General features: G+C 53.4%; 1 long non-coding RNA gene across 1 annotated transcript in view, besides 3 other annotated features; it reads right to left on the bottom strand.

The window, feature by feature from the left end:
* Positions 1–16,704, bottom strand: part of LINC00620 (long intergenic non-protein coding RNA 620) — a 95,915-nt gene that overhangs the window by 34,152 nt on the left and 45,059 nt on the right. The gene's annotated exons all lie outside the window — the stretch shown is intronic.
* Positions 11,395–11,895: an enhancer, noted in NCBI's record as "H3K4me1 hESC enhancer chr3:13742088-13742588 (GRCh37/hg19 assembly coordinates)". NCBI's record gives its function as "activates a minimal SCP1, AML or CMV promoter by ChIP-STARR-seq in primed H9 embryonic stem cells {active_cell/tissue: H9 hESC(primed)}" and the evidence as "EXISTENCE:reporter gene assay evidence [ECO:0000049][PMID:30033119]".
* Positions 13,379–13,998: an enhancer, noted in NCBI's record as "H3K4me1 hESC enhancer chr3:13739985-13740604 (GRCh37/hg19 assembly coordinates)". NCBI's record gives its function as "activates a minimal SCP1, AML or CMV promoter by ChIP-STARR-seq in naive H9 embryonic stem cells {active_cell/tissue: H9 hESC(naive)}" and the evidence as "EXISTENCE:reporter gene assay evidence [ECO:0000049][PMID:30033119]".
* Positions 14,618–15,237: an enhancer, noted in NCBI's record as "H3K4me1 hESC enhancer chr3:13738746-13739365 (GRCh37/hg19 assembly coordinates)". NCBI's record gives its function as "activates a minimal SCP1, AML or CMV promoter by ChIP-STARR-seq in primed H9 embryonic stem cells {active_cell/tissue: H9 hESC(primed)}" and the evidence as "EXISTENCE:reporter gene assay evidence [ECO:0000049][PMID:30033119]".

The following is a 16,704-nucleotide window of genomic DNA, read 5'->3' as shown; positions in this document are numbered from 1 at the left end:
AAAGATCCACCCATTACCTCTCCAGGTGCCCCCACCTCAGTGGTAGAACAGCCTCCTCAAACGGGGGTTCCCTCAAATGTTAGATCAGCCTTCTCACTTGAAGTTTCCTGCAGTTTTCTCCACATGCCTCCACCCTAGTGGAGGCTCCACCCCAATGGTTAATCAGCCTCTTCACATGGGGGTCCCATCAGTTTTCTTCACGTGGCTCACTGAATAAAAATCAGCCTCCTCAAATGGGGGTCTTCTCAGTCCCCCCACCTCAATGGTAGACAAGCCTCCTCACATGGGATTTTCCTCATTTCCCTCCATGTGACCCAACCCCAGTGGTACACCGGCCTCCTTTCATGGGCATCTCCTTAGTTCCCTCAATATGCTTCCCCCAGTGGTAGACCAGACACTTAACACGTGGGTGCACTCAATTCCCTCCATGTGGCCTGTTCAAAGGTATATGAACTACCTCACGCAGGAGTTCCTTCAGTTTTCTTCTCAAGCCCCCGCAATGGTAGACCAACGTGCTCACAAGGGGTGGGGGAAGGGGTCGTTTCCCTTCACAAGCCCCTACCACAGTGATAGACAAGCCTCCCCACATAAAGGTCCCCTCAGTTCCCTCCACATGCTCCCATCACAGTGGTAGATCAGACTGTTCACATGGGGGTCCCCTCAGTTCCCTCCACATGCTCCCATCACAGTGGTAGATCAGACTCTTCACATGGGGGTCCCCTCAGTTCCCTCCCATGTGCTCACCCAATGGTAGACAAGCAGCTTCACTACCGAGTTTCCTCAGTTCTCTCCACATACCCCCCAATCGCAGTAGTAGACCAGCCTTCTTTCATGGGGTCCCCTCAGTTCCCTCCACGTGCTCCCAAGAATAATAGACCAGCCACCTCTCAAGGGGTTCCCCTCAGTTCACTTCATGTGGTTCACTCAAAGGTAGACCAGCCTTCTAAGACAAGGGTGCCCTCACTTTCCTCCATGTGGCCCTTTTAATGGTAGACAAGCCTCCTCACATGGGGATTCCCTCAGTTTCTCTTCACATGCCCCCAGCCCAATGGTAGACCAGCATCCTCACACAGGAGTCCCTCAGTTTCCTCCATGTGCCTCCACCACAATGGTGGACCAGATATCTCACAAGGGGGAAGTCCACTCCATTTCTTCCACATGCCCCCAACAATAGTAGACCAGCCACCTCACACAGATGTCTTAGTTCCTGTTCATGTGGACCCTTAATGGTAGACCAACCTCCTCAAATGCAGGTCCCCTCAGTTCCCTCCACATCCTCTTCCATGGTAGACCAGCCTCCTCACATGCTGATCCCCTCTATTCCCCTCCATGTGGCCCCCTCAATAATAGACCAGTCTCCTTACATAGTGGTCCCCACACTTCCCTCCTTGTGGCCGCTGCAAAGGTAGGCCACTTTCCTCACATGGGTTTCCTCTGTTTCCTTTCATGTAGCCCCCCTCAAAGGTAGACTAGCCTCCCCACACAAAGGTTCCCTTACTTCCTTTGAGGTGCCCCCAACCCCGTGGTAGACCACTCTTTTCAGTTCCCCTCAGTCCCTTCACACGCAGGTTTTCTCACTTATCTCTACAAGGCCCCAACCCAAATGGTAGACCAGACACCTCACACAGGGGATACCCCCAGTTTCCTCCATGTGCCCCCACCACAATGGTAGACTGGCCACCTCACATAGGGGTCCTCTCAGTTTCCTCTACATAGCCCACTGAGTGGTAGACAAGCCTCCTCACACAGGAATTTCTTCAGTTCCCTCAATGTGCCCTGCTCAGTGAAAAAGCAGCCCCCTTATATGGGGGTTCTCTGTTTTCTCCACATGCCCCCACCCCTATGGTAAACCAGTCTCTTCAGTTGGGTGTCCACTCAGTTCCCTCCACATCACCTCCATCCACAATAATAGAACAGCCTCCTAGCACAAGGGTCCTCTCAGTTTCCTTCACTCACTCCCAACCCAATGGTAGACCAGCCACCTCACAAGAGGGACCCCTCAGTTCCCTCCACGTGGCCCCATCAGTGGTGGACCAGCCTCATCACACAAGCATTCTCTCAGTTTCCTTCACATGGCCTTTTCAATGGTAGACCAGCCTCCTCACACGGGGGTCCCCTCAGTATCCTTGTGGCCCCCTCAATGGTAGACCAGCTTCCTCACCCAGGGTTTCCTCAGTTCCCTCCACGTGGTCCCCTCAATGATAGATCAGGCTCCTCACTCAGGGATCCTCTCAGTTTCCTACACATGACCCCCAGTGGTAGACCCACCTCCTCACACAGGGGTCTTTTTAGTTCCACTTCAAGTCCCCCCACCCCAATGGTAAATCAGTCTCCTCACACAAGGGTTTCCTCACTTCTATCCACATTCCCCATTCCTAATGGTAGGCCAGACTTCTTTCATTGGCATCCCCTCAGTTCCCTCCACATGCCCCCAACACCATGGTAAACCAGCCCTCTCACATGTAGGTCCCCTCAGTTCCATCCATGTGGCCCACTCAAAGGTATACAAGCCTCCTCACATGGGGGTCCCCTCAGTTATCACCACATGCCCCCATCCCAATGGTAGACCAGCCTCCCCACACAGGGGTCCCCTTAGTTCCCTCCACATATCCCCCTCAATGGTAGACCAGCCTCCTCACTTGGGCATCTTCTCAGTTCCCCTCACATGCACCCTCAATGGTAGATCAGACGCTTTACACAGGGGGATCCCCTCAGGTTCCCTCCACATTCTCTCACCCCAATTGTATACTAGCCACCTCACATGGGGGTTTTCTCAGTGCCCTAAGCATGATTACCTCAAAGGTAGACTAGACTCCTCACAAGGGGGTTCTCTGAGTTTCCTCCATGTGATCTCCAATGATAAACAGTCCTCCTCACAAGAAGGTTTCCTCCATTCCCTCCACATAACCACCCTCCAATGATAGACCAGCCTCCTCACAGGGGGGTTCCCTCGGTTACCTCCACGTGCCCCCACCACAAAGGTAAACCAGGCTCCTTACATAGGGATCCTCTCAGTTTTCCCCATGTGCCCCCACCACAGTGGTAGACCAGATGCCTCAAAAGGGGGTGCACTTACTTCCCTCCACATGGCTCCCCAAAGGTAGACCAGCCTCCTTACATGGGGATTTCCTCAGTTATGTCCACGTGGCCCCCTCCAATGGTAGACCAGCCTCTTCACACGAAGATCCACCCAGTTCCTCTCCACGTTTCCCCATCACAATGATAGAAAAGCCTCCTCACATGGGGCTCCCCTCAATTTCCTCCAGGTGCCCTCCACCCCAATAACAGACTGGCCTTACATGGGGGTCTTGTCAGTTTCCTCCTCATCCCCCTCCTCAGTGGTAGATCATCTGCCTCACATGAGGGGTTCCCTCAGTTCTCTTCATGTGCTCCAACTTCAGTTGTAGACAAGCCTCCTCACAAAGGAATCCTCTCTGTTCCCTCCGCATCTCCCCACACCAATGGTAGACCCACCTCCTCAGATAGGGATCCCCTCAGTTCCCTCAATGTGCCCCCATCAATGGTAGACTAGCCTCCTCACACAGAGGCTCTCTTTCCTTTTTATGCTTTAACCTCTATGGTAGACCACTCTCCTCACTTTGGTGTCCAGTCAGTTTGTTCCATATGACCCCCCCTAATGATAGATCAGCCTCCTAGCACAAGGGCCCCCTCAGTTCCCTTCAAGTGCCCCCAACCCAATGGTAGACCAGCTACCTCACAGGAGGGTCTCCTCACTTCCCTCCACATGATTCCCTCAATGGTAGACCTGTCTCCTCACACAGGAGCCCCTTCAGTTCCCTCCATGTAGCCTTTTCAATGGTAGACCAGCCTTCTCACACGAGGACCCCCTCAGTTCCCTCCATGTGCTACCTGCCAGTGGTAGACCAGCCGCCTCACATGTAGGCCCCCTCAGTTCCCTCCACGTAACCTCCTCAATGGTAGACCAGCCTTCTCACAGGGGGGTTCCCCCAGTTCCCCCCACGTGCCTCCATCCCAATGGTAAATCAGTTTCCTCCCATGTGGGTTCCCTCAGTTTTCTCCACGTGGTTCTCTTAATGCCAGACAAGCCTCCTAACACGGGGGTCCCCTCAATTTCCCTCATGTACCTCCACCCCAATGGTAAACATGCCTCCTCACATGGGGGTCTCCTCGGTTACTTCCCCATTCCCCCACCCCAGTGGTATACTAGCCTCCTCACATGAGGGTTTCCTTGGTGTCCTAAATGTGATTACCTCAATGGTAAACTAGCCTCCTCACTCGGGAATTCTCTCAGTTTCCTCCACGTGCCCTCACCTATATGGTAGACAATGCTCCTCACATGGAATTTCCTCAGTTTTCTCCACAGGGCTCCCTCAATGGTAGACCAGTCTCCCTACACAGGGATTCCCCTCAGTTACCTCTACTTGTCCCTACCCCAATAATAGACCAGCCTCCTTACATGGATGTCCTCTGAGTTTTCTCCATGTGCCCCCACCACACACAATGGTAGACCAACCTCCTTACATGGGAATCCATTCAGTTCCCCTTCACGTGCCCCCAACCCAATGGTAGACCAGCCTCCTCAATGGAAATCCTTTCAATTCCCTCCATGTACCCCCCAATGGCAGGCCAGCCTTCTCACACTGGAGTTCTTTTAGTTGCCCTCCGTGTTTCCTAACCCCAATGGTAAACCACCCGCCTCACATTGGGGTTTCCTCAGTTATGGCCATGTGCCCCGAAGCCAATCATAGACAAGCCTTCTCACGTGGGCATCCCCTCAGCTTTCTCCATGTGCCCCCCAATGGTAGACTGGTCTTCTCACAAAGGGGTCCCCTTAGTTTCCTTCAACGTGCCCCCACCCCAAAGGTAGACCAGCCTTCTCACACAGGAGTCCCATCACTCACCTCCATGTTACCCTACCCCAATGGTAAACAAGCCTCCTCACATGGGCTTCCCCTCTGTTCCCCACATGTACCCACCCAATGGTAGACCAGCCTCCTCACACACAGGTTTTCTCAATTATCTCCATGTGGGCTCTACCACAATGATAGACCAGCCTCTCCACACGAGGGTCCCCTCAGGTTCCTCTATGTGCCCTCACCATAATAGTAGACCAGCTGCCTCACACGGGGATCCCCTCAGTATTTTTCATGTGCCTTCCTTACAGGGGTCATTTCAATTTCCCTACACATTTCCTAACCCCAGTGATCTACCAATCCCCTCATATAGGGGTTTCCTCAGTTCCCTCCAAGTGCCCCCACCCTGATGGTAGACCAGTCTTCTCAAACGGGGATCCCCTTAGTTCCCCTCTATGTGCCCCCACCCCAAAGGTAGACCAGACTTGTCACACGGGGGTCCCCTCATTTACTTCAATGTGCTGCTACCCCAGTGGTAGATAAGCCTTCTTACGGGGGGGGTCCCCTCAGTTCCCTCCACATGGTCCCCCAATGATAGAACAGCCTCCTCACGGGGGGGATCCCCTCTCTTTCCTTCACATGTCCCCAACTCAATGGTAGACCAGCCACCTCACATAAGGGTCCCCTCAATTCCTTCCACATTGCCCCCTCAATGGTAGACCAGCCTCCATACACAGATGTCCCCTCAGTTCTCTCCATGTGGCCTTTTAAATGGTAGACCAGCCTCCTCACAAGGGGGTACCCTCAGTTTTCTCCATGTGCTTTCACCCCAACAGTAAACCAGCTTCCTCACAAAAGGGTCACCTCAGTTCTCTCCACGTGATTCCCCCAGTGGTAGACAAGCCTACTCACACAGGGGTACCTCAGCTTCCTCCCAAAGCCCCCATCACACAGGTGCCTCCTCAAACCAGGGTCCCCTCAGTTCCCTCCAAGTGCCCCAGACCCAATGGTTGGCCAGCCTCCCAACATGGGGGTTCCAACAGTACCCTCCATGAGACTCCCTAAAGGTAGGACAGCCTCCTCAACTGGGGGTTCTTTCAATTTCCTCCACATGCTTACACCTCAATGGTATACCAGTCTCCTCCCACGATGGTCCCCTCAGTTCTTTCCATTTGGCCCCCTCAATAGTAGACCAGCCTCATCACATGAAGGGCCCCTTAGTACCCTCTACAGGGCCCCCTCAGTGGTAGACCAGCCTTTTCTCAGTTTTCTCCATGTGCCCACATCCCGATAATAAAAGAGCCTCCTCACATGGGGGTCTCTTCAGTACCCTCCATGTGGACCCTCAATGATACACCAGCTTCCTCACTTAGGGGTCCTCTCAGTTCCCTCCACGTGTACTCCCCATGGTAGACCAGCCTCCTTACATGGGGTTTTTTTCATTTCCATTCCAAGGCACACACCACCCCAAGAGTAGACCAGCCTCCTCACATGGGGGACCCCTCAGTTTACTCCACATGCCCCTATCATAATGGTAGACCAGATGTCTCACAAGGGGGCCCACTCAGTTTCCTCCACACAGTCCCCTCCAATGGTAGACCAGCCTCCTCCCTTGCAGGGGTGTTTCCTCAGTTCCCTCTAGGTGAACCCCCCTCAATGTACACCAGCCTTCTTACACAAAAGTCCACTCATCTCCTCTCCAGGTGGCCCCACCCCAGTCATAGAACAGCCTCCTCACATAAGGGACCACTCATTTCCCTCCACGTGGCCTGCTCAATGGTAAACCAGCCACCTTACATGGGGGACTCCTCAGTTCCCTCTACGCGCCCCCACCACAGTGGTAGGCCAGCCTTTTTACATGGTGTTCCTCTCAGTTGCCTCCACATGCCCCCCTCCAATGGTAAACCAGCCTTCTCACACAGTGCTTCTGTCCATGTGCCCCATCTACAATGGTAGACCAGCCTCCTTACATAGGGATTTTCTCAGTTCTCTCCACATGCCCCCTCAATGAAAGACCAGCCTCTTCACACAGGGATTCCCCAGTTTCTCTTTATGTGCCTCTGCCCCAATGATAAAGCAGCTTTCTCTCACAAGAGTTTCCTCAGTTCCCTCCATGTGCTCCCACCCTGGTGGTAGACCAGCCTCCTCACAGTTGTTTTGACTCAGCCTCCTCTCAAGTGCCCACCCAATGGTAGACCAGTCTCCTCACACTGGATCCTCTCAGTTCCCTACCTTTTTAATGTTAGAACAGCCTCCTCACATGGGGGTCCCCTTGTTCTCACCACATAACTTACTCAATGGTAAACCAGCCTCCTCACACGAGGGACCCCTCAGTTCCCTCTATGTGCCCCCATCCCAGTGGTAGATCAGCCTCCTCACACGGGGTCTCCTCAGTTCCCTTCACATGGCCTCCTCAATGACAGACAAGCCTCCTCACACAGGCATCCCTTCAGTTCCCTCCACATGCCCCAACCCCAATGGTAGACCAGCCTCCTCATACAGGGGTCCCCTCAGTTCTCTATATGTGCCTCCACCCAAAGGGTATACATTCCTTCTACAATGGGTGTTTCCTCAGTTCCCTTCTATGTGGCGCCCTCAATAGTAGACCACCCTTCTTACACAGAGGTTCACTCAGTTCTCTCCACATGCCCCCATAATAGTAGACCAGTTCCTCACATGAAGGTCCCTCAATTTTTTCCTTGTCCCCCCACCCTAATTGCAGATCCCTCAATTTTTTCCTTGTCCCCCCACCCTAATTGTAGACCAGCCTCCTCAAGTGGGGGTCCCCTCAGTTCTTTTCACTTGGCCCCCAATGATAGACCAGTCTCCTCACACGGGAATCCCCTTATTTCTTTCCACATGGCGCCACCAATGGTACACCAGCCTTCTCACATGAAGGTCTCCACAGTTCCCAATAGTAGATCTGCCTCCCCACCAGTGGTTTCCTCTGTTTTCCTCCATGTGCTGCCACCCCAATGAAAGGCCAACCACCTCACACAGGGGTCTTCTCAGTTCCATCCACATGCCCCCACCTCAATGGTATGCAAGCCTTCTTACATGGCCATTTCCTCAGTTCTTTCCATGTGTGCCTCCCCACCCCGCCCCCCACCCCAGCAAATTGTGGACCAGCTGCATCACACGGTGGTTTCTTCAGTTCCCTCTATGGAGACCCTTCCAGTGGTAGACCCGCCTCCTCATATGAGGGTCCCCTAAGTTTGCTTTCGGTGACCCCCCAAAAGGTAGGCCAGTTTTCTCACATGTGCCTTTATTTCTCCCTAAGTTTCCTCCATGTGCCTTTACTTCAATGGTAGAACAGCCTCCTCATACAAGTTTTCACTCAGTTTTCTCCACATGCCTCTACCGGAGTTGTAGACCAGCATCCTAACATGGGGGCCCCCTCAGTTGCCTCAACTTGGCCCCCCAGTGGTAGATCAGCCTTCTCACACAGTAGTTTACTCAGTTATCTAGACACGGCCTCCTCAATGGTAGGGCAGCCTCCTCACACTGGGGTCCCATCAGTTCCCTCCACATGGCCCTCCCTAATGGTGGACCAGCCTCCTCACATGAGGTCCCCTCACTTCTGTCCACATTCCCTTCTTAATGGTAAACCAGCCTTCTCACAAGGGGATTCTTTCAGTTCCCTTCTCATGGCCCCTCAGTGGTAGAAAACCCTCCTCATCCCAAGGGTAGACCAGCCTCCTCACACACTGGCCTTCTCAGTTATCTCCATATTGCCCTTAGCCCAATGGTAGATGAGCCTCCTTACATGAGGGCTCTCTCAGTTTCCTCCACGTACCCTCACCTTTATGGTAGACCAGCCTCCTCACTTGGGTGTCCCTTCAGTTCTCTCCATATGTACCCAACCAACGATAGATGAGCCTCCTCACATGGGGGTCCTTTCAGTACCCTTAAAGTGCTCCCACCCCAATGACAGACAAACTACCTTACATGTGGGCCCCCTCAATTTCCTCCACATCCCCCCCACAGTAGACCAGCTTTCTCACATATGGGTTCCCTCAGTTCCCCTCTATGTGGCCTTCTCAATGATAGACCAGCCTCCTCATATGGGGGTCCCCTCATTTCCCTCCATGTGCCCCCCGAATGGTAGACAAGCCTCTTCACATGGGTTTCCCCTCAGTTCCCGTCCATGGGGACCCCTCAACGGTAGACCAGCCTCCTCACACTGGGATCCCCTCAGTTCCCTCCATGTGCTCTCACCCCAATGGTAGAATGACCTACTCACATTCGGGCCTTCTCAATTATTTCCACATGGCCCCCCACCCTAATGGTAGACCAGCCTTCTCACATGGGTATACCCTCAGTTTCCTCCACGTGGCCCCACTACAATGGTAGACTACTTGCCTCATCCAGAGGTCCCCTCAGCTCCCTCCATGTGACCTCCCCAATGGTAGACCAGCCTCCTCACACAAGAATCCCCTCCGTCCCTCTCCACGTGCCCCCATGTCAGTGGTAGACCAGCCTCCTCACATGGTTATCCTCAGTTAACTCCACATTGCCCTTTTCATCCCACGTTTCATGCCAATGGTAGACCAGCCTCCTCACCCAAGAATTCTTTCAGTTCTACTCTAAGTCCCCCTACCCCAATTGTTGACTAGCCTTCTCACGCATGGGTCTTCTCAATCATCGCCACGTGATTTTTGCCCCAATGGTAGACCAACCTCCTAACATGGGGGCTTCCTCAGTTTTCTCCATGTGCTCCCACTATGATGGTAGGCCAGCCTCCTCATACAGGGGTCCTTTCAGTTCAACTCCAAGTCCCCCTACCCCAATGGTAGACTAGCCTTCTCACACAGGGGTTTCCTCAGTTCTCTCCAAGTGCCCCCACCCCAGTGGTAGACCAGCCTGTTTTCATGGACATTCCCTCGGTTCCCTCTATGTGACCCCACCTTAATGGTAGACCAGTCTCCTCACATGGGGGTCCCCTCAGTTCCCTCCACATAACCCCCACAGTAGACCAGCCCTCTAATACGAGAGTCCCCTCAGTCCCTTCCACCTGCCCCCGCCCCTATGGTAGACCAGCCTCCTTACATGCGGGTTCTGTTTCCTCCACGTGTCCCCCTAAAGGTAGAGCAGCCTCCCCATATGGGGGTTCTCTCGGTTTCCTCCACCTTCTCCCACTTTCATGGTAGACCAGCCCCATAACTTGGGTGTCTCCTCAGTTTCCTCCATGTGCCCCCACCCCAATGGTAGGCCAGCCTCCTCACTCAGTGGTCCTCTCAGTTCCCTGTCGTGCGCCCACCCCAGTGGTAGACCAGCCTCTCACACCAAGGTCCCCTTTGTCTCCTCCATGTGCCCCAATCACAGCTTCTGTGCATGGCATCTGAGGCTGTGCTTCAAGAGTGAAGCAGAAGCCCCAAGGTGTCTTGAGGCACAGCCATCACTTCCCCCACCTTCTATTGGCCAAATAAAGTCATGTGTCCAAGGGGAGGGGAAGTAGCCCAGGCTATGGGTGGGAGGAAGGGACACGTCCCACCTTGGAGAGGCATGGTGGCCAGGAAGGGAGGAATTTGTGGGAGCTGTCTTTGCAAACACAGTACCACATTGGCTTATTTATTGTGGATTATCGAGCACATCATCTGACATAGACCTGATGATAGGTGCTGGGGGCACGTAGCAGGACAACACATGCCCCTGCCCTAAAGGAGTTCCCAATTTGTTTGGTGCAAGAAAGGTATAAAATGATGGTGATGAGGCATTTTAATGAGGGCCACATTAGAAGGTTCTTCATACATCTATTCACTCAGTCATCCAACGGCTGTTTCTTGAGTGGGGCTCCCATGCACTGGACACTGGGGGTACTAGCATCCCCCAGTGGACAAGACAGACATGGCCCCTGCCCTCCCAAGCTCCTGCTCCAGCAAGGGAGACAGGCAGTAAATACACATCAAGAAACCAATATACATAGGGAAAAATAAAACAGGGTAAGAGGACAGAGAGTGACCATGGGGTCTATTTTAGATACGATGGTCAGAGAGGCTATCTGAACTCAAGAACCTGAACTCAAGGAGGAGCACCTGCTGTGTGCTAAGACCTTTATCTTGCTTAATTCCCAGAGCTGCAACTTGAAGCAGGGACCATCATCAGCCCCTTTTCATGGATGGGGAAACTAAGGCTCAAAGGTTCCTGGTCTCCCCTGGAGCAGGGACCTTGGAGTGAAGGTCTGTGTGGAAGAATGCTCCCAGGGGAGAGAACTGCAAGTGCAAAGGCCCTGTGGCAGATGTGTTGGATGCTCTCAAGGAACAGCGAGAAGGGCAGAGTGGAGGGAAGGAGGGGAAGCGCAGTAGGAAATTAGACTGGAAAAGCTCCATTAGGTTGACAGAGGGAAGGGGCCTTCTGGGCTGGGCGCAGCATAAGCCAAGGCCTGGAGATGGGGAATGTAGGACGTGCTCCAGCAGGGAGCCTGGCTCAGTGGGACTGGGGCTTCAGGAACGTTGGGGTTAACAGCCTGGTACACTGGCCTTGGGAAGTCTCTCTGGCCCTGTAGGCAGGAGCACCCAGGACGGTGCCTGAGCAATGGCAGGCCAAAGCCCGCCTTGAGTTGGGCTGCCCTCCCTGTAAACCCTGAGCTCCTCCTCACCTGGGCGTCACCCCTGCTGGCAAGCCCCTGTCACTGAAGCCCTGGCTGTATCCTACCCTGATGGCACTCACAGTACCCAGACGCCTCGCCAATCTCAAAGGCCTGGCTCTGACTCTCAGCCCCACTGCTGGCCTACTCAGTGACTGCAAATGACTAATTTTCCTTTGCTGCGCCTCAGTTTCCCCACATCTAAAGTGAGTAGGGTCAGGGACTGTTGGCGGTCCTTCCAGTCATACCTGAACCTCAGCTCACATCACAGAGCTTTGGGAGCAACAGCTGTGTGCTTATAACCTGGAGCAGAGAAGCTGATGCCTTTGTACAGATAGGGAGACTAAGGGCAGGGAGGGTGCGGTTGGCTGAGGTGAATCTGTTGATAATATATGGGGAGGGAGCATGCAATGTTGCGTGATGCTTCAGACTCTCAGGCTGTGGGACACCTAGTCCCCACTGTTTGGACAGATGGTGATCTCCCTAGCGGAGGTTAATGGGATTCCCATTGTCTGAGAGCTGGGCCCGCCCGACAGTAACAGGATCCTTGACCCCTCTTCCCGCCTGCAGGGCAGCCTCTCTGACACCCGAGCCTCAGGATCCAGGCAAGGGGACATAGGCAGGCTTGCTGGTGGGGAGATGCAAACTCAAGGAGGACAAGCACCTGCTATGTGCTAAGACCTTTATCTCACTTAATCCTCAGAGCTGCAAAATAAAGCAGAAACCATAATTATCCCCTTTTCATGGATGAGGAAACTGAGGCTCAGGGAAATCACAGAGGCAAGAGGAGAAGGCATCCCAGGACTCCAAGGAAAACAGAATCTCAAATGCACAGGGGACCAAATTGCCTTTTGTAGAAATGCCTTTTTGGTTTTTTTTTAATGTTTCCCCTTCTCATATGCAGGCCCTTCTCAGATGAGCCAGGTAAAATGATGCCTCCCCAGACAGCCTTCCCACCCTCCTGGCAGGGATAACCACTCCTGTCTCTTGGCTCCCAGGATCTCAGCTCTGAGATCCACCACTTACCAGCTGCCTAACACAGGAAGTCTCCTAACCTCTCTGGGCCTCAGTTTCCTCATCTATAAAATGGGAATAAAAATAAGACCTTCCTAGGGCTGCTGAGAGAATCACATAAGATAGTAGGTGTAAAGCACCTAGAAGTGTGCCCGAGGGATGATGAACACATAACTTGCTTCTATTAGGATACTCTAATAACTATTATCATCGCCACTATCATCCTCACAGCCCTCACCTTCATATGCAGGCCCTTCCCAGAGGGAAACTCTTGGTGTTTGCAACAACTTGGGGATGCAATGTTGTTCCATTTCTTAGATGAGGAAACTGAGTCTCCGAGATGTTTGCTGACTTGGCAGTGGGCAGAGGAGGGAGAGAAAGCCAGAAGGATCTGACTCCAAAGCTCTGCCCCACCCCATCTTTCCAGCCATCCCGTGGCAACTACAGACAAGATGCTAACTGTGCTAACCAGCTCCTTGCATTCATGAATTTCTGCCTGGACCTAGGGAGAGACCCCTTGCTTCTCTTCCCCTGCAGCCAGGGGTGGAACAGAGGCATCTGAGGTGATGGGGTGTGGGTTCAGAACCCGAGCCAGTCTCCAACTGGGCCATGTCTGCAGCTAAGGGCAATAGCAGCTCTTCCCAACTCTAGATACCAGGGTCAGGTACAAGTCCAGCAGAAGCACCCAGCAGCCTCACTTACATACCTCCCCTGCTGGGCAGGTCAGTACTGGTCCCAGCTCTGCCCTCTGCCTCCCCCACGCACCCCAGGAGAGCCCTGCAGAGACTGGGGGACAGGAAGCCTGGGCAGACAATGGGGCTGACGGGGAGGGGCGAGGAGGGCACCCAGCCTCCCGAGGAGCTCTGCGCCTGCCCCCAACAGCTGAGCCACGGGAGGGCGGGGGATGAGGGGCGGCTGGCAGCAGTGCAATTGTTGGGGCGTGCCTTCAGGGACCAAATGCCTGTGTTCAAATTATTCCAGCTAGTAACTGCTGCCCTGGGGCATCGTCCTCTACCTCAGTTTCCTCATCCATAAAATGGAGCCAAAATGGAGCCAACATGGAAAGGGCTTCTGTGTCTGTCACAGAGTGAGTGTCCAATATACAAATGTGAGTTGTTGTTTGCATTGTCCCATATTTCTGGATTGAATGAATGGTGCACCCAGGCAGCGGCTGGCATGGGGTGGGATAGGGCAGGACCTAGGCAAGCCCCTCTGGAGCACATCGGGGAGCCCCAGGTCCCCTGGATGCGGCAGGAATTCCCATCCCAAGCCTGGCGATGAGCTCACCCACTCAGCCTGCACCAACAATACATGATCAGCCCATAAATGCCCAGGGGATGCTGGGGCTAGGCCAGTATTTGAATATGAAAGGGTGAGAAACCGAGCAGCATTCTGGGGTCTGGGGGCGGGGAGGGAGTGTGGCTGTGCACAGCCAGCCTGGGTGCAGGCAACACAGCATGCATGCCTTGCACACAGACACATAAAAACACACACATGCACGCAAAGACACATACACACAGTCATGCAAATACATGCAAAGGCAAATACAAACTCACAGGCACACACAAACACACACATACACACACAAAGGCATACATGCATGCGACAGGCACACACACAAATACAACTCCCTTTCGCCCTCGCAGCTGCACAGAAACAGCAGTAAGACCAGAGTAATGGACATGCATTGAGCACACCGCCTGAATGGCACTCCAGCCACAGCCTCAGGTGTTCAAGAAATTTTTAATAAAGATTTCTTTTTTTCCTTTTTTGTGAGACAGAGTCTCACTCTGTCACCCAGGCTGGAGTGCAGTGGTGCGATCTCGGCTCACTGCAATCTCCACCTCCCATGTTCAAGTGATTCTCATGCCTCCGTCTCCCAAGTAACTGGGATTACAGGCATGTGCCACCACACCCGGCTAAATTTTTTTTGTATTTTAGTAGAGACAGGGTTTCACCATGTTGGCCAGGTGGGTCTCGAACTCCTGACCTCAAGTGGTCCGCCCGCCTCCACCTCCCAAAGTACTGGGATTACAGGCATGAGCCACCGCGCCCGGCAAAAGGTTTCTTTTATATCTCAAATTCATTTCTTGAGTCCTGCTCTCATAGCAATTTAATCTTGGCCAGGCTGGTATGCCCACCTTTCCCCCAGAGCACCTGAGGTGGGAGCCATTCAGTCTGGCCTGGTCTGCTGAGTACCCCACAGGCCACCAGGCCGTCAGCCCTGCAACTCTCCTGCATGTGCCTACAGCCCCTGTGTGCCCCTCCAGGTCCCTCTGATCCTCCGGTGCCCCACCCAGGGAAGATCTCCACCAGCCACCACTCCCATGGAGTGGCAGAGCAAGACCTGCCTGCTATCAGAGCCCACAGCCCGCCTGAGCACCCAGAGCCCAGCCAGCTTCCCCCTGAGCCTCCTTCCTCGTCTCCACCACCCCCAAGTCTGGGAAACCTCCCTGTGAGCTGGAGCAGGCAGGGAGGAGACTGGGGAGACTCGGACTCCAGGCTCACCACAGTCTACGGCAGAAGGGCACGGTGGTGAAGAATCCAGGCCCCCGAAAGTCACCACCCTGTGACATCGCTAGCTGTGTGCCCCTGGGCAACACACATAACCTCTCTGGGCCTCAGTTCTCTCATCTGTGAAATGGAAATAATGAGAGCACCTGCCTCACGGACTGGCCTTAAGATTCCAGGAGACCACGTGTGCACAGCAGTGGGAACAGTGCTCAGCACCTGGTGAACTCTCATTACCTTTTTAAAGACCTCCTCTGGGATTTTCCGTTCCCATTGGGTCTAGGTTTTCGAAACCAAAAGCTAAGAAGAAGCTGGTTCACTGAATTGATGGAAAAAAGGAAAAGGCAAAAAGGGACCAAGGGGTAGCACAAGCTATTTGGGGAAAAAGAACTATTCATTAATATTTCAAAATAGAAGCCCTCCAACTCTTCTACTGTAGCCAACAGCACGCTAAGTTCTCTGTAAGCAGCTTCTTTAAGCCTCCTAGAAAATTCATGGGGTCAGTACTGTCCATCACTACCTCTGCTTTGGAGATGAGGCCCAGATGGGTGGCACACCTGACCCCAGGACCAGGGTCAGAGTTGGGAGTTAGACTCAGCCCTGAAGCCACTTGCCCAGGGCCACACAGCCAGGCTTTGGCTGAGCCTGGCCTGGAGCCCAGTCCAGAGCTGGGACACTGGACCACCAGCGTCATAGCACATAGGTATCTGGGGGTTGACCCTGGCCATGAGAACTCAAATGTCCCAGGAGTCTCATTCAGTCATATGTTTCTCTTTTACTGATAGAAAAGGTGCTTTAGAAGCCTCTGTTGTTCACTCCAAATTTCTGTAGGATTGTTCTGGGGTAGGGGGAGAATGGAGGGCAGAGCCAGGACTAATGGGAGGAGGGGACTGATCACAGGAGGAAAATCAGAGCTCCCTATGAGGAGCACCTCCTCCCAGTCAGGAGGCCAAAGAAAGGGACAGGTATCCAGGAGGGAGTGAGCTTCCCATCAGGGGAAGTATGCAAGCCAGGTTGGAGGAGCAGCTGGTGGGGCTGCAGAGGGGATCCAGGGACTCTGCCTGGTAAAAACATTCAGGAGAATCTCCCACAAGGTCCCATAATCAGGCTTCCCAGACTGAGTAAGAAGCCAACCTGCTTGCTAAAATTAACCACTCATTTGTGGTTCCCAGAAGACCTTCCATACCTAAACATGCTAGGCTACTTGTCTTGGGACGTCGTGAGGGAGATTCCCCTGGGCTGTACTGCGCGGCTTCCAATTCCCAGAGAAGAAGGCAGAGACCATGGTTGTCCATAAATCTCCACATTCTCCTTCTTCTGAACAATAAGGAACCCTCTACCAGTTTTCTGGGATCATGATGCCCCACCATCCCCCAGGAGATTGCATCTCCCAGCCTCCCTTGGGGCTAGACACGGGCATTGGAGGAAGTCCTGGCCAATGGGAGGTGAGCCAAAGAGGCGCACGCCACTTCCAGGTGCACCTGTAAAAAAAACTGTGCCTTCCCCATGTCCCCTCCTTTCCCAGCTGTCTGAGGGGAGGCGAGCACAGGAGCAGCCACCTTGAACTCAGAGACAGAGGTCTTGATACCAGAGTCCCCTCCTAGCCCTGAAACACCTTACTAGACCATAAAGTGAAAGAAATAACCTGTTCTCAACCTTGCCGTGTCTCCTATCTTGACCCTTTTGGTTAAGCCGCTGTGTTTGGGAGTCTCCTAATCACAGCAGCTAAGACTATACCCTATGTGATACCAAGAAGGA

The sequence above is a fragment of the Homo sapiens genome, chromosome 3 (genome assembly GCF_000001405.40).
Source record: "Homo sapiens chromosome 3, GRCh38.p14 Primary Assembly".
NCBI classification, from domain to species: domain Eukaryota; kingdom Metazoa; phylum Chordata; class Mammalia; order Primates; family Hominidae; genus Homo; species Homo sapiens.
Note: the sequence above shows the minus strand (reverse complement) of the source record. Positions and strands in the feature narration are given on the sequence as shown.